Genomic DNA, 26280 nt, shown 5'->3' with positions numbered 1-26280 from the left:
AATAGAGCTATTTGCATCATTTATTTCTTCTTGAGTAAACTTTGATAGTTTGTGTCACTCAAGGAATTCGACTATTTCTTCTAAGTTGTTGACTTTATTGGCATAAAGAAGTTTATAAACTTCCCTTATTATTTTTTAATATCTGTAAAATATGTAGTGATGTCACTTCTTGCTCCATGCTATTGTCGTCATACATTTTACTAATACATGTGGTATAAACCCCATCGTGCATTTTTATTATTTCATTATTTTCATTTAAAAAGTTGTCTTTTAAAGATATTTAAATTATAATAAAAAGTTATATATTTACTGTATAATGTCTCTAATGTACTCCCTTCCTTTGTATAGATCTATATTTCTATCTGGTATCATTTTCCTCTGCTTGAAGTATTTTCTTTAACATTTCTTGCAATGCAGGTTGGTTCATGATAAATTCTTTCATCTTTTGTATGTCTGGAAAAGTCTTTATTATTTTTTTCATTTTTAGTTTTTAAAAATTGAAATATAACTCATATCATAAAATTTACCATTTTTAAAGTGTATAATTCAGTGGCTTTTAGTATGTTCACAAGGTTGCACTACTATCATCACTATCTAATTCCAGGACATTTATCCCCCCAAAACCCTATACTCATTGATAGCCACTGCCCATTCTCCCCTCCCCACAGATCTTGTCACACTCATCTATTTTCTATCTCTAAGTCCTTCATGTTTGAAAGATACTTTTGCTGGGTAAAGAATTCTAGGTTGACAGTTCTTTCCTTATAATTCTTTAAAGATTTTTTTAATTGTCATTTCATCTTATTTTCAATAAGATCTGCTGTTATTCTAATAAATATTCCTCTGTAATGTGTCTTTTCCCTCTAGCTGCTTTTAAGACTTTTTTTATCAATTTTTTTTTAGCAATTTGATTATGATGTGACCTAGTGCAGTTTTTTTCATATTTCTTGTTTTGGGCAGTTACTGAGCATCTTGGATCTGTGGGTTTATAGTTTTCATAAAATATAAGAAAATTTTGGCCATTATATCTTCAAATTTTTTCAGCTTTCTAATTTCTTTCCCACCTCCTCTAGAGATGCCAATTAAATGTATATTAGCCTTTAAGTTGTCCCACAGCTTACTAATGTTCTTTTTATTTTCTTTTCTCTTTAATAAATTCACTTTTCCCTCTGTATTCCATTGGATAGTTTTTAGTGCTAGGTTTTCAGTTCACTAATCTTTTTTTCCAGCAATGTCTAATCTGCCATTAATAGCATCCAGTGTATTTTTAATCTCAGACATTATAGTTTTCATCTCTATAAATTCAACTTGGGTGGTTTTATATCTTCATGTCTCTAGTTAACTTTGAGCCTATAGAAAGCAGTTATAGTAACTGTTGTAATGTTATCAACTGCTGATTCTAAAAGTTGTGTCAGTTCTGGTTCATTTCTGATTGATTTTTTTAAAATCCTCCTATGAGACATATTTTCCTGCTTCTTTCCATGTCTGGCAATCTTTGATTGGATGCCAGACATTGTAAATTTCACCTTGTTGGGAGATGGATATTTTTGATTTCTATAAATATTCTTGAGCTTTGTTCTGGCATGTAGCTAAGTTACTTGGCAACAGTTTAATACTTTGGACCTTGCTATCATGATTTGTTAGGTGGAACTGGACCAGTGCTCAGTTCGTAGCTAATTATTCCACTATTGAGACAACATCCTTCCCTGTATGTGAGCCAATGCTCTGTAAATCATAAACTTTTTCAGTCTGGCTGGTGGTAAGAGGGACTACTCCCAGCCCTGTATGAATGGCAGTCACTGTTACCTCTAATCCTTTCAAATGGTTCATTACCCAACCTTGGGCAGTTCCTTCACATGCATGTGCTGATCAATGCTCAGCTAAATGCTTTAGGAGAACCCTTTGAAAATTTCTGGAGTAGTCTCTCTGTGAAATTCTCTCTTTGGTACTCTGTCTGGCAAACTCTAGCCCCCTTGGTCTTCACATATTCTGAGCTTCATTTCCTCAACTTAGGGAGACTGCTAGTCCCTGCATCAGCTCTACCTCCCTATGTCATGGCCTTCAAATTTTCTTCACACAGCAATCTGGGACAAGCATAGTGCAAGGAATAGCCCATATACACACAATTGGTAAACTAAACGTTTAAGGACATGTAAGTCATTCTGAGGTATGGACTTAGCTAGGATGGGGATTCAGAAAAAGAATTGATAGCACGGGCTGAGGCAGCTGCTAGTGACTCAATGGATAACTATGTCTTTTGGCTGGTCTCAAAGGAAGAAGAATATCTTCCTTCAGAAGAGGTTGTCTCCTGGTGGGTAATATCATTAGCTGAGATGCCAGAGGCAGGAGAAGCAGCAAGAGAAGGACCTGAGTAGCTTCAGGGAGAAGAGAGGGAGAAAGAAAAGAAAAAGCAACCTCAGGAATTATAAACCTATAAATCATATAAACCAATAAGTCTGCCATTATGTTTATCTCGCAGTCATTAAGGCCAGTTCAAAATCCAAATACAAAATCAGTGTTATCATTTCAAAGCCACATCTCCATCAGCATAAAAAATCTAGGTATCTCTTTGGTTTACCAGTTCTACCTGGTAGATTTCATTTCAGATGAATTTTGGCTATTTCGAGAAATCAAAGCTGCCCTAAAAGAAGCAAGATGAGGTTCTGCTGAAGGTGTGTGAAATAATACAATAAAGGCATGTTCTGAAACAACTTCTCAAAAAAAGAAAGTCATGTAAATTCAACCAAGATGATTGACTATCTTCAAGAGCACAACTCTTGATTATACAAGTTCCAGCATAAAAATAATAAAAACTGTCATGTGAAAAGAAAAGAAAGAAAAAAACCCTGCAAATTTAAGAATGGTTCTGATATGGACAAATGGAGAGCAACAGAAAGGTATTCCGAGGAAATGGTTTGGAGGCATGCTAAAGTGTGACAAAGTAAAAGGTCAATGGAAAGGCAAGGTCATGTGTGGGAGACATTTCCACGGAAAACTCTGTGGGATGAAGTGTTGGGTTTGATATGGCCTATGAAGAATGAAAAGGCAGTGGTGATTCTGATATTCAGAATTTTGTGCATGCCTGGGAAAGTCTTTGAGGTAGTTCTCCGTGGCTATCCAGTTCAAGACACCATAGTTCTCCATGGCTATCCAGTTCAAGACACATCCAGTTCAAGACACCATGGTGGCTGAGCAAAGAGTAGGCCTAGTATGGATGGGGCACATTCAACTTACCAAGAGCTGGCAAACAAACCTACACCTTAAAATAATTCCAAACATCAGCCGGGCGCAGTGGCTCATGCCTGTAATCCCAGAACTTTGGAAGGCCGAGGCGGGCGGATCACCTGAGGCCAGGAGTTCGAGACCAGCCTGACCAATATGGTGAAACGCTGTCTCTACTTAAAATACAAAAATTAGCCAGGCGTGGTGGCAGGTGCCTGTAATCCCAGCTACTCGGGAGGCTAGGGCAGGAGAATTGCTTGAACTCGGGAGGTGGAGGTTGCAGTGAGCTGAGATCACGCGATTGTATTCCAGCCTGGGCAACAAGAGCAAAACTCTGTCTCAATAATAATAATAATAATTCCAAACATCAGCCTTATACCACAATTGAGAATTTTCCCCTACATGGGTCATCTCAGAGTAGCATGCACATGTGATCTTTAAATAAATTCTGTTTGAATTCAATCTATTTATATTAAATTTGAGGAAAAAATGTCCCCAACATTTTTGTCATTGTCTTCATCAGTAACAATTATCTATGTGGAGCACCTTTAGTTTCTTCTCTCTTTTATTTGCTTCTAGAAGAATAATTGTAAACATAAATGTCCAGCTGAAAGCTGGAGAAATAGAATAAGGATGTTCTATATTGTGATAAATATGTATTATGATATAGTGTGACAAACAATGGCCGTAGGTGGAATTCATGCAGTGCTTGCAAGTTATCTATGGATTATTACTTGACACTTGCATGTGAAAGAGATGCAAATATTTCCAGTATTACAGGGGTTGGTAACAGGCACCAAGGTAGTGTGAATGCTTCTACCATGACACATCTCACTCACAGTTAGGCTGCTCCCTATGTGATCCTTCTCATACCCAGGAGGCTTCTAAACAAGCCCAAGGTCCCAGGTTTTTTCCACTTCTATTGTCCATGGACCAGTATGTGGTTTTCATCTCCTCCCCCATCTCCTTGATTATTGTCTCCTTTCTTCTATTTTGCTTTAAGTATTTTTATTTTATTTATTTATATTCTTTTTGTGGCAATCTGGGCGTTGAACTCAGGTAGACCTTGGTTTGAATCCCAGCTGTGACACTTGCTAGCTCTGTGGCTCTGGCAAGTAACTTTCCTGATCCAAAAAATAAAAGCAGGCCTTGTGCTAAAACCTGAAAACAGCCCCAGGACTTGTTGGCTGTCAAGGTTCTTATCAAAGCATAGATTATGCTCGCCTCATCGGATTTGGCTTTTCTGAACACCAGGAAATTTCTGGAGAAAGTAATTCAGAAACATTACTCCCTTCCATGTACTCGCCAAGTACTTGAGCCAGGTATTGTTCTAGGTATTGGGGTTAGAGCAGTGAACTAGCCAGTCCAGTGCCCTACCCTTTAGGAGTTTACATTCCAGTTGTGGGATGTCAGATAATACACAGTAAAGGAATTAAAGATGGTAATAAGTGCTATGAAAGAAAGAAAACCGGGCACCATATTAGGAAGTAACTTGGGGAAGAAGCAAGACAGGGAGAAAGTTGCTTTAGCCAGGGTGGTTAGGAAAGGCTGTTGAGAAGGTGATGCTTGAGCTGAGTGGTGAAGGATGAGAGCAAGCCGGCCATGTATGTTTGTTACCTATTGCTGCATAACAACTTATCCCACAATGTAGCAGCTTAAAATTACAAGCATTTGTTATCTCACAGTTTCTGTGGGTCAGTGATCAGAGCATGGCTTGCCTGGGTTTGTCTGGCTCAGGGTTTCTTTCTCATGAGGCTAAATTCTGGGTATTAGCTGGATCTCCAGTCAGCCCAAGGCTGTCCTGCAGGAGAATGGGCTTCCAATTGCACCCACATGACTATTGGCAGGCTCTGGGTTCTCACTGGCTGTTGGCCAGAAACATCAGTTCTTTGTCATATGGGCCTGTCCATTCGGCAGCTGACAATAGGTAGGAGGCACTTCCCTCAGAGCAAGCCAGCAAGGTGAGAGAGAGAGGGCAGCCTGAATGGGAGCTGCCTTCTTCGAGTAACCCATCATTTTCACTGCATTCTATTCACTATAAGCGAGTCACTAAATCCAACCCGTACTCAAGGGGTGGGGATTCTACAAAGGTGTGAATACCAGGAGGCAGGGGTGAGTGGGGCCATCTTAGAAACTGCCTATTGTACCATGGATGCAAAGTGCTGGGAAAGAATGTTCAGGGCAGAGGGAAGGTCTAGAGCAAAGAGACCCTGGTTGTGTTTGAGGAAGTGAGAGGAGGCTGATGGAAGCAGAATGTACTGAACAAAGTGGGGGGAAAGAAAGATAGGAAATAAGATAGTTAGAAGGCAAACCATGCAGAGCCTGGAAAGAAATTTTGATTATCCTAAGTGCAGTGGGAACCAGTAAAGGGTTTTAAGCAAGGGAGTTAGTGATGTAATCCAACCACTTGAAATTTTCCAGACCTTGATGGTAGATGTAGCCCCACCAGGGCCTGAAGGTAGGAGGCGAAAAGAAAAGATTCTTTTGCTCTAAAAAATGTCAATGGCATGCAAATGCCTATCCAACTAAGTATAAAGACTTCAGGGTCTTATAAATATTCTCCAAGCTATCCTTACAGCCTTATCTCTCACTACTTCCCAAAACTCCAGTCAAAATGATGTTCCCCAAGCATACACTGTGTTTTCCTGTCTCAGAGCCTATGCTGTTTCCTCTGGAGGACTCTGGAGGACTGCCCCTACTATCTCCATCTGTCAAAATTGAGCTGTTTTTGTCAAGACCCTTCTCAAGTGCCACCTCCTAGGTGATACCTTTCCTAATTTTTCCCTTTTTTGAATGCCCATTGCTCTTTGTTTAATCCCCTTTTTGAATTTACCATGTCTTTCCTAGTTTTAGTAGTTCATGTTTAGATTGTAAATTCCTTGAAAGCAGGCACTTTGCTTTCCTTATTTTTGTAATCCATTCAGAAGCGAGGGCTTGAGCATTTGTAATCAGTGTTCAACCAACACTTGTCAACTTGAATTAAACTGGGAACTAGACCATGACAACAGCTTTGGTTGGCTGTGAGGGCTTCTGAGGAATAAGACAGTAACCAGTTAACACCAAGTTATAATTTTCCTATCACAACTCACAAATTTTAAAATTTTGCTTTCTAAAGTTCAAGAAAAGTGTTGAGTGTATGCTACCTTTCATGTGAAAAAGAAAGGTTTATAAGAAAGTATACATGATCTTATTTTTGCAAAAAGAAATAAAGTAAGGATGCATCAGAAACTAACTGCAGAGAGCGGATGGGACCAGGATGGGAAGAATGGAGGAGGAAGAACAGGATAAAGGATTGAGGGGAAGTTACACTTCTCTGATTATACCTTTTTGTATAGTTCTAACTTTTAGAACCATGTTGAGATTCCACAAACTAAAAAATAAATAGACTAAATGAAATTTGGTATATTCATACAATGGGATATTATTCAAGAAATATAATAAGAATGTAATAAGAAATGAAGTACTGATGCATTCTATAGGATGGAGAATCTTGAAAACATTATGCTAGATGAAGAATATATAACATATCCAGACAGACAAATCCAGAGACAGAAAGCAGATTAGTGGTAACCAGAAGCTGTGTTAGGGGTGGGGGGTTGAGAAGGGTAATATGGAACGACTGCAAATGGGTACTGGGTTTCTGTATTAGTCCATTCTCACATTGCTATAAAGAAATAGTTGAGACTTGGCTGGGCGTGGTGGCTCATGCCTGTAACCCCAACACTTTGGGAGGCCGAGGCGGGCAGATCATGAGGTCAAGAGATCGAGACCATCCTGGCCAACACGGTGAAACCCCGTCTCTACTAAAAATACAAAAATTAGCCGGGCGTGATGGCACAAGCCTGTAATCCCAGCTACTCAGGAGGCTGAGGTAGGAGAATCACTTGAACCCAGGAGACAGAGGTTGCAGTGTGCTGAGATGGCACCACTGCACTCCACCCTGAGTCTCAAAAAGAAAAAAAAAAAGAAAGAAAAGAAAAGAAAGAAAGAAATACCTGAGACTGGGTAATTTATCAGAAAATAAATTTAATTGTCTCATGATTCCACAGGCTGTACAGGAAGCATGATGCTGGCATCTGGTGGCTTCTGGGGAGGCCTCAGGAAACTTACAGTCATGATGGAAGGCAAAGGGGGAGCAGATATTCACATGGCCGGAGCAGGAGCAAGGGCTGGGGAGGTGGTACACACTTTCAAACAACCAGATCTCACAGAACTCACTCAGTATTGCAAGGACAGCATCAAGAGGATGGTGCTAAACCATTCATTAGAAACCTCCCCCATGATCCAGTCACCTCCCACCAGGCCCCACATCGAACACTGGGGATTACAATTCAACATGAAGTTTGGGTGGGGACACAGATCCAAACCATATCAGTTTCTTTTTAAGGGATGAAATGCTCTGGAATTAGAAAATGATAGTGATTGACTAACTTTGTGAACATACTAATAACCACTGAATTGTATACTTTAAAATGGTGAATTTTATGGAATGTGAATTGTATCTTAACTTTTAAACTAAATACGTAAATAAAATCAGCCACAAGTGTCAGAGGAAATGCAAGTAGATACAAATGATAACAAATCAACCTAGCTGTAATACATATGAATAACAGTACTGAAGGTGGTAGGAAAGAAAAGAACTAACCTAAGTAACTGGGAAAGAGTATTTTGACTGGCTACTGCAAGGCTGACAGTAAAAGGAACACAAATATTGCATTCTAATTAATAAATTTGTTTTTCACAGAGAAACAGATGAACAATTCTAAAACTACTTTATGGGTATTCTAGGACTACAAAAATAAATAAATGTATTATGGATAATGACAGCCAGGTTTCTCACTGTCAGAAGAGGGAAAAAGGAAACAGGGAGTTTAGAATGAACTTGATAGTGTTGGATTGGCAGTGAAGGTTTCAGAGTGGACTGTTGGTTTCCAACATATATGCAAATAGATAAGTACAGAAATAAATGTAGATGTGTGCATATGTATGTGCAAACATACATACATTTCTTAGTTCTCTCTGTTGAGTCTAGAAGCAATGACACCCTAGAAGCAATGAGCACACCTAGAATCGAGATCTTGGTTTCAAAATTCCATTCTCCATTAAAGGAAACCAGGGCTTCTCAGAGAAATGTCTTTTTCCAAAGTTAGGGCAAAAAGTTACAAAAGCCTAGAACATCTTCTGGAAAAAGAAAGTAAGAAAATGCTAAAAAATCCCAGGGGAATATTGAAAAACATAGATGAGTCAATGTGAAGGTGCTCCCAGTGGCCAAATCTGGGACAATGTGACCAATAAAAATAAGAATAGTAATGGATTGTAAATCATAGAATAAAATAAATACCCTTGAGTACATACTAATATAAAAATTGAATAAGTAAATAATTGGAGGAGAATAGACAGCTTTTCCTTGAAGGAGAATTCCAATTAACAAATGTAGATAGAAAGATGAAGACAGAAAATCACCATTTGGCAAATACCACAATAGTAACTGTTGCAGGCAAGCATCATTTTAGCAAAGAATGCTAAAATTCATGGACAAAGTATAATGAGGGTGTGGTGGCAGGCACATGTAGTCCCAGCTACTCAGGAGGCTGAGATGGGAGGATCACTTCAGGCTAGGAGTTTGAGTCCAGCCTAGGCAACATAGTGAGACCTGGTCTTAAAAAAAAAAAAAAGTGGGGGAGGGGCAGGCAGGTGGCTCACACATGTAATCCTAGCACTTTGGGAGGCCCAGGTGGATGGATCACTTGAGTCCAGGAGTTTGAGATCAGCCTGACCAATGTAGCAAAACCCTATCTCTACTAAAAATACAAACAAAATTAGCCGAACCTTGTGGCACACACTTGTAATCCCAGCTACTCAGGAGGCTGAGGCACAAGAATCATTTGAACCAGGGAGGCAGGGGTTGCAGTGAGCAGAGATCGAGCCACTGCACTGCAGCCTGTGTGACAAAGCAAGACTCTGTCTCACACACACACAAAAAATAAATAAAAAAGAGAAACAGGATAGTTTTTAAGTATCTCTCCACAGATACTTACTAATTACAAAGAGAACAGTAACAACTTTTCATTTAAAAAACCTGACAGACACCATGTTAACCAAGTGATCTAAGTTCAAAGTAAAAGAAGAGAAAAAGATGCACCATAAGAAAGCTAAAATACCTGCACTAGTTTCAGACTAAGTAGATCTCAAAACAAAGGATATCACTGTGGATAATGGTTCATTTCATAATGATAATCAAAATGATGCACTTAGTGACAGAGCTTCAAAATACATGAAACAAAAATTGATAGTGTCAAGTAGACAAATCCACAAGTTGAATTGGAGATTTCAATACCGTTTGCAGAAATTCAGCAAGGATAAAGCAGATGTAAATAATATTAACCAACTTGACTTGATTGTCACTTATCAAACACCAATAACAGTCAAATACATATTGTTCTCAAGTGTGTATGGAACATTCACCAAAATAGATCATATTCTGGTCATAAAACAAGTCTCAATACATTCAAAAAGATTCAAGCCGTGCAAAGTATGTTCTTTGACCATAATGGAGTAACATTAGATATTAATAACATATATTTTTAGATAAATCCCCAAATATTTGGAAACTAAATGATATACTTCTAAATAACATATAGGTAGAATAAATTAAAAAGTGATTAAAATTATTTTGAATGGGTAAAAATAAAAAAAAACAAATTTTAAATTCAGCTGAAAAATTTTTAAAAAGAAAAACATAACAAATCAGAACTTTTGAGATGTTGCTAGGGCATTTTTTAGAGGGAAATTTATAGCACCAAACACTTACAGTAAAAGAAAGTTTTCAAATAAATAACCTCAACTTCCTCTTTAAGGCACTGGAAAAAGCAGAGACAATTAAATCAAAACTAAGCAGAAGAAAACAAAAAATAAGATCAAGGCAAAATTAATGAAACAGAAAATAGAAAAACAGGCCAGGCATGGTGGCTCACGTCTTCACCCCAGCACTTTGTGAGGTTGAAGCGGGTGGATCATCTGAGGTGAGGAGTTCGAGACCAGCCTGGCCAACATAGTGAAACTGTTTCTACTAAAAATACAAAAATTAGTTGGGTGTGGTGGCGGGTGCCTGTAATCCCAGCTACTCAGGAGGCTGAGGCAGGAGAATTGCTGAAGGTGGAGGTTGCAGTGAGCCGAGATTGCGCCATTGCACTCCCACCTGGGTGGTGAGTGAAACTCTATCTCAAAAAAAGAAAATAGAAAAAGAATAGATAAAATCAATGAAATCGAAAGGTGGTTCTTTGAGAAAATCAATAAAATTGATAAGAAATGTTGCTAGACATATTAGTGGAAAACGAATAAACAAATGACAATGAGAGGAATAAGAGAGGTGACATCATTTCAGATGCTACAGATATTATAAGGATAATAAGGGAATATTATGAACAATTTAAGCCAATAAATATGACAATTTAGATGAAATTAATAATTTCCTTGAATGTCACAAATTACCAGAACTCACTCAAAAAGAAATAAATAGTCTAAATAGCCCTATGCTTATTAGAGAAAATGACATAGTTCAAAAACCTACCACAAAGAAAACTCCAGGCCCAGAAGACATCATGGGTGAATTCTACCAAACACTTACGGAAAACAAGTAATACTAATTCTACACAAAGTTCTTCAAAAATATTTAAAATAGGGGAATAGTTCCCAATTCTTTCTCCAAGGGCAGGATTACCCTTAAAACAAAATCAGACAAAAACATTACAGGAAGAGAACACTATAGACCAATATCTCTCATAAATAAGCCATATACAAAATGGTAACAAACTGAATTCAACAATTATTAAAAGGACAATATATCATATGGCCAAGTGAGATTTATCTCTGGAATGCAGGGCTTAACATTTGAAAGTTAATCAATATAATTCAACATATTAACAAACTAAAAAAAATTATATGATTATCTCAATAGATGTTGAGAAAACATTTAACAAAGTTAAACATTCATTCCTGATAAACACTCTCAGAAAACTCAAATTAAAAGGAAACTTCTTCAACCTGAAAACAGGCAGCTAAGAAACCTATAGCAACCATCATAGTTAATGATGAAAGCCTAAATACTTCCCCCCTAACACCAGGAACAAGTCAGGAATGTCTGCTATTAGCACTTAAATTCAACATTGTACCAATGGTTTTAGCCAGTGTGATTGGGCAAGAAAAAGAAATAAAAGTCATCAAGATTGAAAAGGAAGAAATAGAACTATTTTTATTGCAGGTGACATGACTGTGTAGGAAATATCATAGAATCTACAAAGAAATCAATTAGAACTAATAATTGAGACTAGCATGATTCTAGAATAGAACAAAATATAAAAAATCAAATATATTTTTCTATACTAGCAACAAATAATTGGAAATTGAAATGTTTAAAAATATCACTTATGAAAATACAAAAATGAAATACTTAGAGATAAACTTCACAAAATTAGCAAACTACCTATACACTAAAACTACAAAATATTGCTGAAAGAAATTAAAGAAGACCTAAACAAATGGAGAGATATGCCCTGCTCATAGATCAGAAGACTCAGTGTTATAAAGATATCAGTTGCTCTCAAATTGATCTATGGATCCTATACAATCCTACTCAAAGTCCCAGAAGGGTTTTTTTTTTCCAGAATTGACAAGCTGGATCTGAAATTTTTATGGAAATACGAAGAACCTAGAATAACCAAACAACTCTGAAAAAGACAAGGTTGGGATGACACAACCTGATTTCAAGAATTATTATAATGCAGCATTAATGAATACAGTATGAAATTGATATAAAGTTTAAAAAATAACTCAACAGAACAGAATGAAAAGTACATAAATAAATCCACACAAATATAGGCAACTGATTTTTGACTGAGGTGCAAAGGTAATGAAGTAGAGAAAGGATAGCCTTCTCAACAAATCATGCTGGAGCAATTGCATAAGCACGTGGGAAAAAATGAACTTAGAACCAAGCTCACACCACATGCAAAGATTAACCCAAAATGGATCATAGACCTAAATTTAGAAACATAAATCTATACAATTTCTAGAAGAAAACATAGGAGAAAGTCTTTGTGACCTCAGATTAGGCAAATATCTCTTCTGCAGAAGCACATACTAAAGTGTTCAACATTATTAGCCATTAGGAAAATGCAAATTAAATCCACAATGAGATAACACTACACACCTATTAGAATGGCTAAAATTTAAAAGATTGACATGCCAAGCATTATGAAGATGTGGAGGAACTGCACTCTTGTGAATTTTTGTGATAATGTAAATGGTAGAACCACTTTGGAAAACAATTAGGCAGTTTCTTAAGAAGTTGAACATATAATGTTCATGGATCATGACAGCATGATCCACCCATTCCTCTCCTGGATATTTACTCAAGAGGAAATTCAATATATAACCATATAAACACTTTTATACAAATATTCATAAAAGCTTTACTTGTAATAGCCAAAAGCTGGAAATAGCGCCACTGTCCATCAAGAGGTGAATGGATAAACTATGGCATACCTGTAAAATGGAATACTACTCAGCCATAAAAATAGTGATTGCTATATACAACATATGGATGAATCTTAAAATTATCATACTGAGTGAAAGAAGCCTGCTTAAAAAAAAGAGTACATACTATATGATTAAATGTATATAAAACTAGAAAATGCAAACAATCCATAGTGACATAAAGCAGATCAGTGTCTGCTTAGAGATGGGAGATGAGATGGTGTGGGAGGGAGGGATTACAATGGCTTATGAGAAAACTTTTGGGGGTGATAGGTATGTTCACTGTCTCAACTGCAGTGAGGATTTCATGCGTGTATACACATGTAAAAATTGTAGACTTGGGCCGAGCACAGTGGCTCACGCCTGTAATCCCAGCACTTTGGGAGGCTGAGGTGGGCAGATCAGCTGAGGTCAGGAGTTCGAGACCAGCCTAGCCAACGTGGTGAAACCCCGTCTCTACCAAAAATACAAAAAATTAGCCAGGCATGGTAGCAGTCACCTGTAATCTCAGCTACTCAGGAGGCTGAGACAAGAGAATCACTTGAACCCGGGAGGCAGAGGTTGCAGTGAGCCGAGATTGCGCCATTGCACTCCAGCCTGGGTGACAAGAGCGAAACTCCATCTCAAAAAAAAAAAAAGAAAATTGTAGACTTTAAACATGTAGTTTACTGTAAAGTTTATATATATAAAGCTTATGTATCTGAATATAAAATTTATGTGTAAACTTTAGCGTGTGTGTATATATATATACACATATATCTATTTTTATTGAGATATAATTGACGTACAATAAAGTGCACATTTAGAAATAAAGTGTTTTTTTTTTTAACTTCAGCCCAGAAGTGAAAAATGTCACTTCTTCTCATGTTTCATTGGCCAGTCAAAGTCCAAATGTCCACACCTAACTCCAGGGAGGCCGGAGAGTACATTCTCACCACATGTTTGGAAGAATAGTTGAATATTTGTATATAGTACTAATGACTACCACACTCTGCAGTAAGCATGGTGTTCTCCCCTTCCCTTCCCTTCCCTTCCCTCCCCTCCCCTCCCCTCCCCTCCCCTCCCCTCCCCTCCCCTCCCCTCCCCTCCTCTCTTCTCTTCTCTTCCCTTCTTTTTGAGATGGGGTCTCACTCTGTCACCCAGGTTGGAGTGCAGTGGTGCAATCTCAGCTCACTGCAACCGCTGCCTCCCAGGCTCAAGCAATCCTCCCATATCAGTCTCCCAAGTAGCTGAGACCACAGTTACACACCACTACACCTGGCTAATTTTTGGTAGAGACGGGGTTTCACCATGTTGCTCAGGCTGGTTTCAAAATCCTGAGCTCAAGCAATCTACTCGCCTTGGCCTCCCAAAGCGCTAGGATTACAGGCGTGAGCCACAGCACCTGGCCCTGTTTCTTAATAAATAAAGCACTTGTTCCAATTGTTACATAATAGAATTGACATTCATTTGCAGAACCACCAAATAACATTAGACTTAGCAGCCCTGACTCAAAACTTCTGCAAAGATTGATCTTGTTTTGCTTGTGATGGGGAGGATCAAAAGTTAAATAAGATTAACCAGGTAACCCAAATCTTTTAGAAATTACTACTTCTTGGAATATAAGAAAATAAACGTAGAAAGAAACTAAACTAGAAGAAAGGATGAACAACCATTTGGTCTAGCCCCTGTCTTCTGGCCCATGAAGTTTAATGTAAATTATAGACAGGGGATGGTGGATCAGAGAATGACTCCATAATGATAAATTAATTTTTCCTGAATTGATTCTCTTCGTGGTCAAGAAATTATTTTTCATATCCAACTAAATTTTTTTTTAATTTATTTATTTTACTTTTTAGAGACAAGGTCTTGCTTTTCTGCCCAGGTTGGCCTTGAACTCCTGGGCTCAAGGGATCCTCCCACCTCAGCCTTCCAAGTAGCTGGGACTGCAAGCATGTGCCACTGTGCTTTGCTTAAAAATGTTTATTTTTATTTAAATAAATTTCCTTTTGTTCTGTTCTTAGTAGTCACCCTGATGAATTGATCAGAAATATCCAGGCCAAAGCTTCATAGCATGTGAAAGGGTTAGCATCTTTAATGTACAAAAACATTCTTGCACGTCAGCATGGAAAAAAGACATTTTGCTTATTTTTCTAGCCACATGGCCGATTGTGTTAATATAGTCCCTCTCCCACCCCTAGCAGGCCCCTTTTTCTGAAACACACATAGAAACACTGTGCCTGCTGTGTTACTTTCTGTACTTTTTATATGTTCTTTTAAATGTTGATAACTTTTTAAGAGAAAAACAAACTAGGATGTTTGTTATATCCATTTAGGATATAAAAAATGGTCTAAGCCAGGTGCGGTGGCTCACACCTGTAATACCAGCATTTTTGGAGGCCAAGGCAAGAAAATTGTGTGAGGTGAGGAGTTTGACACTAGTCTGGGCAACATAGCAAGACCCTGTCTCTGCAAAAATAAATAAATACATAAATAAAACTAAAAAAGTGCTGGGCGTGGTGGCATATAACTGTAGTCCCAGCTACTCGGAAGGCTGAGGTGGGAGGATCTCTCGAGCCCAGGAGATCAAGACTGCAGTGAGCTACGATTGCACCACTGCACTCCAGCCTGGGTGACAGAATAAGACCCTGTCTTAAAAACAAAACAAAACAAAACAAAACAAAAACAAAGGTCTAAGAGGACATGGGCAATTCATGAAAGAAAAATATGTGTAAACAATAAACATATGAGGAAATAAGTAATTTATTATTCTAAGAAGTAATTTAAGTTAAAATAGCAATGAGATACCATTTCAGCTGCAAAACTGGCAAATATTTTTAAAAATGAAAATGCCCAGAACTATTGAGGTTATCAAACCTATATTTACAGTAGGATATTCAGTTTATATGAACTTGTTTGCTATATGAGAGTGGTGGGATTATGCCTATTTTACATTTTCTTCTTTTTGCTTATGTGTATTTTTTAATGCTTCTATAATAAATATGAATTACTTTTGTAACAAAATGTACACTTTATTTTATTTATTTTTTTACATGCAATACTTTTATTTTAGACATGCAAGGAAAGCTGTTTCAGAATCTACTGTTTATTATTTTTTTAAGACAGAGCCTTGCTGTGTCGCCTAGGCTGGAGTGCAGTGGCACAGTCTCGGCTCACTGCGACCTCCACCTCCAGGGTTCAAGCGATTCTCATGTCTCAGCCTCCCTAGTAGCTGGGACTACAGGTGTGCACTACCACACCGGGCTAATTTTTGTGTTGTTAGTAGAGACAGGGTTTCATCATGTTGGCTAGGCTGGTTTCAAACTCCTGGGCTCAAGTAATCCTCCTCGGCCTCCCAAAGTGCTGGGATTACAGGCGTTAGCCACCACCCCAGTCCACAAAATGTACACTTTAATCTCCCCCTTTTAATTGAGAGCAATTTCGCTATCTTGAAGTTCTCTTTCTCTTTCTTTTCTTCATGCTAACCAATTCCAATTTTCTTCATCTTTCCTTAGAAGACCTAATTTTCATACTAAAATTATATTTATCAAGCTTTTTAAGACTTTATTTTTGCCATGTGCTTAATTAAATTGAGCTTACTTTCAGAATTACTCTACCATAATGACTTTAATTTTTGAAAAATCCTTTTCTAGTCTCTCTGTAACTTAACAGACTTCCATTTGCACTACATTTCATTTAAAATATACATTAGCCAGATTGACACTTAAAACATGTTCACCCTGTGTTCTTTTGTCTAAAAATAGACTTATTAAGTGTCTTCTGTGTACTCTGGTACTGTCCCTATGTGTCATAGCAGAGATGCATTCCTATCAGTGTATGTGGGCACGTGTGTGTGTGTGTGTGTGTGTGTGTGTGTGTGTTTGCATGTATAAAACATATGCCTTGGACGGGCGCGGTGGCTTACGCTATAATCCCAGCACTTTGGGAGGCCGAGGCAGGCAGATCACAAGGTCAGGAGTTTGAGACCAGCCTGACCAACATGGTGAAACCCCATCTCTACTAAAAATAGAAAAATTAGCTGGGCATGGTGGGGCACGTCTGTAGTCCCAGCTACTCAGGAGGCTGAGGTAGGAGAATAGCTTGAACTCGGGAGGCGGAGGTTGTAGTGAGTTGAGATCACGCCACTGCACTCCAGCCTGGGTGACAAAGCGAGACTCCATCTCAAAAACAAAAACAAACAAACAAACATGTGCCAGGCTCTGGGCTAAATGGCTTCTAAGCTTTACTTCATTTGGTCCTCACAACACTTTTATGAGATCATCATTATTGTTTCCATTTTACAGATCAGGGTTAGAGAGGGGAGCTCTAACATGCTAGAGATTAGCCTGAAAGCACAGGAGCTAGGCCATGCAGATGGCATGCAGGAAGGAAAGAGGGTAGTATAGAAATAAGACTATGTACAAGGCAGCATATGAGAAATGCTACAAATACGTTTCTGAACACACATTTTCTGGACCTTCACTGATTTCAATAATTTGGTTGCAGAGGACGGATTTCATGGGTATGGGAACAGTGCAGCTGCACATGGCCCCAGGTTCAGAAGAGCCCTGCATGCTTGGAGTTTAATGCTCTGCAGTTGCTTGATATTCTTAATAATTTAATCTTTGAATTTGTGTCTTGAATTCTTAATAATTTAATCTTTGAATTTGTGTTTTGCAAGTGAAGTCCAATGGACATTGAAGCACGTGCCATTAGCTTACATGCGGTTCTGCCTGCTGCCAGCTCCCCACCTCCCTGAGAATAGGTCCTTGGCAGCCTGTTCTCCATTGCCTGGTTCCTGGGACCCTGCCCAGCCACCCCCTCTCCACATCTGCTCTCCCCACTGTGGCCCCTGCCTGCCTTTAACTGGGATGGCAACTATGTTGTGTCTGGCAGAGGTGGGGGTTGGGGGGTAACATTCTGCTGTCATCCTCTGCTTTCAATAGGGACCTGGAGTTGCACCCGGGGAGACTTGAGGCTGGGCATCCAGGGTCTCTTTGCAGCAGGGCCTGGCAGCACCACAACTGTTAGGGGGCAACTCGCCTCTGCCCCACCCCCAATCCAGGCACTGAGCTTGTCCTGGCACTGAGGTTTCAATCCCTTCAGGGCCAACCATCTGCTGCAGGTTGGCCCGGCACCAAGCATTGGCCTGTGGCTGGAGGGAGGGGGACCCCGGAGCCTGTGAGGACTCACACTTGCCCTGGGAGTATCCCCTGCCCAAAGGCGAACTATATTAAAGAGCAAATTTTAAAAGCACATCATGACCGACAGGTCAAGATAGATGGTGAAAGAAAGGAAAAGCTTTGTATTTCAGCACTTTTAATGGCACTTTTTCTTCCTAGCCTTTTGAACAAGGGCCTGCATTTTCATTTTGTACTAGGCTGGAAAATTATGTAGCCAGTCCTGCTGTCTCATGGTTAGCTTCAGGCAATCAGAGGAGGGAATGGTTTACTCCAGGAGGAATGGTGACTTCTTATTTGCTTATTCCACCCTTCTTTACCTTTGCCTTCAAAATGTTTATTCAGGGAGTCCTACTGCCTGCTGTTACTGGTGTTGGCAGAAGATAGCACTGGTGACTGTTTTCTGCAGAGGAAGCTGCCAACCGTTGATATAATTTCTTCTTTTCTTTTTTCTTTTTTCTTTTTTTTTTTGAGACAGAGTTTTGTTCTGTTGCCCAGGCTAGAGTGCAGTGGCACGATCTTGGGTCACTGCAACCTCTGCCTCCCGGGTTCAAGCGATTCTTGTGCCTCAGCCTCCCTAATAACTGGGATTACTACTGGCATGCACCACCATGCCTGGCTAATTTTTTTATTTTTGGTAGAGAAGGGGTTTCACCATGTTGGCCAGGCTGGTCTCAAACTCCTGACCTCAAGTGATCCGCCCACCTTGACCTCCCAAAGTGCTGGGATCATAGGCGTGAGCCACCGTGCCCAGCCCTGATATAATTTTTTGACTGTGCATGGGAAAAGGTGGTGGAAAAAAGGGAAATGAGAAATCAGGAATTTGAGATTATTAAACTGTGTGACTAACCATCACCTCCCATAACTGCAGTCCTGTAATGTTCTGTTTTGACGCTGTGTATTCCTCATTTTGGCAACCTCATCTTCAAGGAAATCACTCAAAAAGCTGACTGGCAGGCTGGCTGGCCAGAGTAGAAGAGCTGTTTATTATCGGGATGGCAATGTACAAAGCGAGCTGCCCCAGGGTGCATTCCTTTCAGCTTTATTGAAAGCCAGTTTCTACAGGTATCTCTCTGGTGAAAAGGCAGTCCTTCTTTTGAAGACACCAGCTCGAGTGCCAGATAGAGCTCGGAATAAAGCACTTGGCATTGCTCATTCCTGCAGATAATGGCCTTAATGCATTGGGAAAAGCAGCTTGGGACCAATGCTGTGGTGAGTCAGTCAACAGGGTCATCTCCACACAGGAAGGACAGGAAAGAGGCTCACAATCGCAGCAGGGGCTGGGCCTGGAGAAGGTATTCTGTGGCAAGTTGGATTTTCTCACAGCACCGATACAGTAGGTAGGTGCGTGCTGACGGCTTAATCTTAACTCTCCTTTTTTATTGACCATAAATGCCATATTTAAATCAACTATAAATGATACAATTACATACTGCCCAGTGGTAAGCTTTCAAAATGTAAATCAGTCTGGGAATACAGAAATCGATTATAAGTATTTTCAATGATCTTTGTTTAACTGTTTAGGGGACTCCCCGGAAGTGGGCTTGTGTAAGTGTGGGAAATGTGGGAGGAAAGGGCTAGAAAAGGGAAGAGGAGCTTGGGCTGAGAGGGAAGAATCCAGGGGGACTGTAGGTGGCAGGGTGTGTGTGTGTGCACCTCCTGGCTTCACCTTGTAACAGTTGTGGAACTGGCAAAGAGCCCCCAGGGCGAACTGCTGAAGGGTGAACTTTCCTAGGTCAAGGGAAACCCATATCATACTGTTTATTATTAGTCGCTAATGAAATTAATATTTATGTCCCCAAATGAAATATCGAATATGTCTACATGCTGGAGACAGACTTTTTTTTTTTCTTTTTGAGACGGAGTCTCGCTCTGTTGCCCAGGCTGGACCGCAGTGGCATGATCTTGGCTCACTGCAAGCTCCACCTCCTGGGTTCACGCCATTCTCCTGCCTCAGCCTCCAGAGTAGCTGGGACTACAGGCACCCACCACCACGCTCAGCTAATTTTTTTGTATTTTTAGTAGAGATGGGGTTTCACCATGTTAGCCAGGATGGTCTCGATCTCCTGACCTTGTGATCCGCCCGCCTCAGCCTCCCAAAGTACTGGGATTACAGGCATGAGCCACCATGCCCGGCCAGGAGACAGACTTAAAGTCACTTGCTTACCTGCCTAAAATCTGTGCCTAGCTGTGTTTATCAGCCAGATCTAAGATAATAAACCGACCCATCCCATCTATCTAAGTAAGATGCAGATTTCTAGCCTTTTTTTTTTTTTTACCATTTCTAGCCATTTTTACACTTTTTTTAAACCAAAATGTGTTCTTAATAATGCAGTTAGGGAGCGAAGTAAAGACAATAGAGTCTTTTCCTTTGCCTCTGTCTGCCACTCTCCTTGCCCCAACAGAAAGCAAGGTAGTGAAGGATTATTTTTCCTATGCTCCCAATTCTCAGGTTCCTGGGAGCCCGGGCCTTACTCCCCTGGTACTCTGGAATTGACTGCGTCTTGGATGCAGACGGCTCTATAGCAAATATATATGTATGTATGTATGTGTACATGTGTGTGAGGGAGCGATATGTATATCTCAGCTAAAGATGAGAACAAATCCCAGGGGCCCCAGGGCCCAACTCTTTCATCCCTAGTTTAAAGGGCCTGCTATAGAGCAAAGGTCTCAGGGCTGTGCTCTGGGCCCACCCCACTCCCTGGCCACACAGTCTGGAAAGGGCTAGAGGCTGTTTTTTAGGGTCAGGTCTGAAAGGGGTGGGCATCACTCCCACTAATTACAATTCAGTCACTTACCCAACCTAACTGCAAGAAAGGCCATAAGGTATGGTCCGTTTAGACTCCTGGGAAGACACAATGACATGCTGGATCCGTGGCATGACCTCTGCCACACTAACCAGTTAGTGCCACAGAACCCAGGAAAAGTCAGAAATGGGAAGCACAGCGCTTTAGAAGCCCAGGGTGGAGGGTGAGGCACAAAACCGAGGATTTGCCCAAAGTCTCATAAAGTACAGTTGGGCCCTGTGCAGCCAGGCACTTGCCCCTCTCCTAGCCCAGTGGAAGGTGGGAGGTTTATCCTCTGAAGTGAATGGATTGGCTCTCCTAGCTCAGAGCTAAGCAAGGGAGAAGAGATGAGACACCCTACTGAAAACCATGGGATTAGGCACAAGCCTAACGGCTAAGACTTGATAACCCCAGCTCCTTTTCCCACTCAGTCCCAGAATGCTGGCAGCCATACTTGAACTCTCTAGGCAGGATTCCTCTCTTAAGAAAGAGAACAGCGTGGAGAAAGGACTTATAGATAGATCCTCCCAGTGAAATGGGTAGGGCTCTTCTCTTTCACCTACAGTGAGCCCCATTCACTCTCAAAGAATTTCTAATGAGCTTTTCAGTGCCTCAAGTTTATGGACCTGTGAATACAGACCCAAGAATTACTGAGCAATTAAAGGGAGCCTCTAATGTGAAAGGCAAAGTCAAAAGCAAACAAATAGAAAATGAATCCAGAGGCACTGCAAAGGGCAAAAGAAACCTCAGGGGGGACCACTATACTTAATATCTTCAGAAAGATAGGAGAATAAACATATTGCATACATAAAAAGAATAGGATGCCACAGAAAAGGCACATCCCAGTAACAAGAAAGAGCTTTTGAAAATGAAAAAGGAGTATAGACAAAATTAGAAATTTAGGCAGTTATGGTGGCTCACGCTTGTGATGCCAGTACTTTGGAAGGCTGAGATGGGAGGATCCCTTGTGGCCAAGGGTTCGAGACCAGCCTAGGCAGCATAGAAAGACTCCATCTCAACAAGAGAAAAATTTTAAAATTGGCTGGGCACAATGGTGCATGCCTATGGTCCCACCTACTTCGGAGGATGAGCCAGGAGGATCACTTGAACCCGGGAGTTCAAGGCTGCAGTGAGCTATGATTGCACCACTGCACTGAAGCCTGGGTGGCAGAGCAAAACCCTGTCTCTAAAAAAAAAGAATTTAGTAGAAGGAGCAAAAGATAAAGGCGAAGACATCTCTTAGAAAGTGAAATGAATGGCAAAGAAAGAAAAACTGGAGAAAAAAGAGAATACAATTATAGGATCAATTTAGGAGTTCCAACATCTTGCTAATGAAAATGGACAGAGGAAATTATCAAAGAAATTCCCAGAACTGAACGTCATGAGTTGCTATATTGAAAAGTACTCAACATAATGAAGGGAAGGAAACTTGGATTAAGGTATATCATAAAAGTTCAGAACACCAAAGATGAAAGGAAGTTCAAAAAACATACAGATAGAACAAACAAGTCACTTTTAAAGGGCAGGAGTCAGAACGATGCTAGCCTTCCAACAGCAACAATAGAAGCCAAAGGCTAATAGATCAGTGCTTTCAAACTTCTGAGGGAAAATGATGTCCAGCTTAGAATTCTATATTTGGCCAAACTATCATCCAACATGAGGATAACTGCAACTAACTCTCAAACGGTTCACAAAAAAAAAAAAAGTATGCGCTTATAATCTAGAGAAAAGATGTAATTCAACAAATAGGGCAAAAGGTTAACAATTGGTGAATTGGTAAGGACACTTTTTGTAATATTCTTGCAAGTTAAGTCTTCTCCAAGTTTGATAAAAAAAAAAACCCATACAACTAATGGGGGTAAAATAAAGGAATTTTTAGACATGTAGGGCATCCAAAGTTTATCTCCGTGCCCACTTTCTTACTAAGCCACTGTAGACGTGGAGGTGTTCATGCAAACAAGAAAATGAAAGAACTAAAGTGCAACCATGGGATCAAGAAAACAGAGAATCCAGCACAAAAGAGAAGAGACGGGAAGTCCTGAGACAACAGCTGTGGGTGGCTCTGGACAGGAGCCAGGCTGACCTGGAGTGGGAGGACTGAGGACAGAAGGTTTATTTCCAATAAAATATGAAACTAATAGATTAGCTGTTTGAGTAATCTTAGAGTTCAGAGAGTTTGGGGATGAATAAGTGGCTGGGGCCATAGAAAATAGAACAAACCAAAATTTGAGTTAATTATTAACTCCAGAGGCAATGAACAATTGCACAAGAAAGGTTTCTTACATGGTTCAGCTATGAACAAGATTTATATGGGCATATTAATATAAAGATGAATATATAATATAATCATGTTGGGAATGAGGGGAGGGAAATGGTGTATGAATACAGGGCATAAAAGACAGAATTCCTCATCGTCCATAGTAAGAAATCAATAGATAATGTATAAAATGGAAAAAGCAAGAAAAGCAGTAAAAACCTATTCTTTGAAAATATAGAGGTAAACATGAAAAAATTGCTAAAATAATTGAAGGCAGTGTCTCTGAGGAATGGGAATCAGAGATGGTAGGGAAAAGCAGGGGATGTGGTCTTTTGTTTTGTTTTGTTTTGTTGAGACAGGGTCTCACTCTCTCACCCAGGCTGCAGTACCGTGGCGGGATCACATCTCACTGCAGCAGCCTCAAACTCCTGGGCTCAAGCAATCCTTCCGCCTCAGCCTCCTGAGTAGCTGGAACTACAGGAGGGTGCCCACCATGCCCAGTTTATTTTTATTTTTTGTATTTTTTTGTAGAGACAGGGTCTCACTATGCTGCCCAGGATGGTCTGGAACTCCTGGGCTCAAGTGATCCTCCTGCCTTGGCTTCCCAAAATGCTACAATTACAGGTGAGCCACCTCTTCTGGCCAATGTGTTTTTTTATAAGCAGGGTTTGTCAGGGACATTCTCAGTTTTTCCTCCCTAGTCTGGTATAATTTCATTACCATTGCCCCTTTTACTCCCAAAGTTGTCCCAGTTTTGTATGTAGCCCTGAAATGCTACTTCATTTTTTAAACTATGTGTGCATGATATTTTGATAACAGTGAAATAAAAAGAGAAGGCTCTTTGGACCTTAAATAAAATAACTCTGGTTCATCAAGCTCAGTCAAAGACTTTAATTTTCTTTTTTCCAAAAACCGATTCTTGGTTTTTTTTTTTTCAATTTTTACCCTCTGTACATTAGAATGTATCCAAAAACTAATTCTTCATTTTAAATTAATTACAAGCAATGTGTACTTCAAAGCACTTTTACAATCACTCACTCATTTAATCCTTACGACAGCTTCATAGGGTAAGCATCCTATCCCATTTTATAGATAATAAAAATGAGGGGCCGGGCGCAGTGGCTCATGCCTGTAATCCCAGCACTTTGGGAGGCTAAGGCAGGCAGGTCACAAGGTCAGGAGATTGAGACCATCCTGGCCAACACGGTGAAACCCCATCTCTACTAAAATACAAAAAATTAGCCCGGCGTGGTGGCACGTGCCTGTAGTCCCAGCTACCTGGGAGGCTGAGGCAGGGGAATTGCTTGAACCCAGGAGGCGGAGGTTGCAGTGAACTGAGATCGTGCTACTGAACTCCAGCCTGACAACAGAGGAAAACTCCCAAAAAAAAAAAAAAAAAAAAAAAAAGAGGTTAGGGAGGTCTTCTGATTGTCTACCAAGGTGACACTAGTCCACTGGACCAGGCCCTTTAATTGCAGTTTGCACACTCTTGCCACAATATCAAATGATAAAGCATTTAAGCCATCCTACATATGAACAGAATCTGAGATATAAAACCAATAACCCAGATTAATAGCCTATTAGAAAAACAGATTATGAAAATGAATAATTCATACATTCTTCTGTTTTTGAAAATAAATTCTAATTAGTCTGCCCAGCTAGGCTTAGTGGAAACTGAAATCAATCTCATGGGAAGACAGCCCACACCTCCAACCCCTGTCATCTTTGGAGTCCCAGAGGATGAACCGCTGCCGCTAAACCTCCGGACCAGGAAAACAGTCCTAGTGGGTTTTTTTGTTTTGTTTTGTTGTTGTTGTTTTTTTTTTAGATTACAAAGTAATACATGATTATTTCAGAAAATATAATAAAACAGAGATATAGCATAAAAGAAAAAATATTCTAAATCCCATCACTTAGAGGTGAATACACCTAACAATTTAGTGGATACATCTCTGTCTTTTTGTAATACAGATACAAAAATAGGATCATATGACGCAAACTTCTCAGTCACCTGGTTTTTTTCACCAAACACTATATTTTGGACATGGTTCCATGTCCATAACCGTGTGTCTACATTTTTCTTTTTAGTGGCTGCCTCATGGTTCATCATTTGAATTACTGTATTTGATCAATCCTCTGTCACTAGATATTTGGGTTCTTCCTTTTTTCTTTCCAGCATTAACTCTGCAACAACGACGAAATTCTATACACACATCTTTGTGCCCATGTCCAATTATTCCTCAAGATAAATTTCCTGAAGAGAGATTACTGTGCCAAAGAGCTTGTATTTTATGGGGGGCTTCTAACCCACATTGTATACCCCACCAACATAGAATGTGCTTGTCCATACTCTCTTATTCAGATGACCCAATGTGTTCTCTTATCAATGCTTTTATCCCTCCTGTGGGTTAACCATGAATGAAACAAAGCAAGGGGGTTGGGATGGGAGGCAGTTGAAACAAACAAGAAATTTAAAAAGAGTTCTTTAATTCCTTCTTTCTAGTCCCTCCCACACTCTAATGTTTTTTTCCAATTTGGAACTCTGGCCTGACTGGTTCCACCCTCAGCTCACACACCAACTTTCCCTGCCCATGCCTATTCTGTATTTTTGAGATTGGGTCAGTCTCTCCTCACTAGCGAGTACATACATTCCTTTGAGGTGAGGGACATCACCTTCAGTGTCAAGGTTTGGACAATATCATCAAAGGGTCACCAAGACATGCCCAAGAATTCTGAAATTTCAGAACCAGGCTTGTTAGAATCAGTTGTTTAACACAGTCTCCCACACTGATCTGCCAGCCACGAGAACAAAGCCACATGGAAGCTAAAGACACAGGGGCAGTGTCCAGTTGCTGGCTGGACATTCCTACACCTCCTCCTCTGATTCTCAATGCTCCCTGGGCCCATCCCCTTCCAACTCCTCCCCCACTAGCCCGGCACTGAAATGCCCTTGTTCACTTTATTTTAAATGGGCACCATTCGGAGGCTACATTCTCACAGTCCATTCTTTGCTTCCCGTTCCTCCCTTGCTCCATGACCTGGGATCATGATCCCTTTCTTCCTAAAACTTTCACCCCTAGTTTCAGATAGTTGACAGTTTTGCACAAATAGTAACATTTCCCCGTAATTACTGTTTTTTTTTTCCTTCCTTATCAAAAGGGGCTGGTCAAAGCCAACCTTGTTCAGTTTATGAACCCAACTCCTTCCTCCCTCAAGACTGACACAGAGATTGACGTAAAGAGTACGCTCGGCCCGGTTAAATTTATAAGCACAGAACCAGGTATCGCATGCTTGTCCATGTGACTCTTTTTTTTCTTTTCTT

General features: G+C 40.0%; 1 protein-coding gene and 1 long non-coding RNA gene across 2 annotated transcripts in view, besides 1 other annotated feature; both read left to right on the top strand.

The window, feature by feature from the left end:
• The window catches only part of RNF103-CHMP3 (RNF103-CHMP3 readthrough), a 217693-nt gene that overhangs the window by 70006 nt on the left and 121407 nt on the right, over positions 1 to 26280 (top strand). The gene's annotated exons all lie outside the window — the stretch shown is intronic.
• Positions 17782 to 18305: an enhancer, noted in NCBI's record as "H3K4me1 hESC enhancer chr2:86859935-86860458 (GRCh37/hg19 assembly coordinates)". NCBI's record gives its function as "activates a minimal SCP1, AML or CMV promoter by ChIP-STARR-seq in primed H9 embryonic stem cells {active_cell/tissue: H9 hESC(primed)}" and the evidence as "EXISTENCE:reporter gene assay evidence [ECO:0000049][PMID:30033119]".
• On the top strand, positions 18603 to 22841 carry LOC124907853 (uncharacterized). Its single transcript, XR_007087122.1, has 2 exons — positions 18603 to 19255; positions 22629 to 22841. It is a non-coding gene; the product is annotated as an uncharacterized LOC124907853 (long non-coding RNA).

Source organism: Homo sapiens, chromosome 2 (genome assembly GCF_000001405.40).
Source record: "Homo sapiens chromosome 2, GRCh38.p14 Primary Assembly".
NCBI classification, from domain to species: domain Eukaryota; kingdom Metazoa; phylum Chordata; class Mammalia; order Primates; family Hominidae; genus Homo; species Homo sapiens.
Note: the sequence above shows the minus strand (reverse complement) of the source record. Positions and strands in the feature narration are given on the sequence as shown.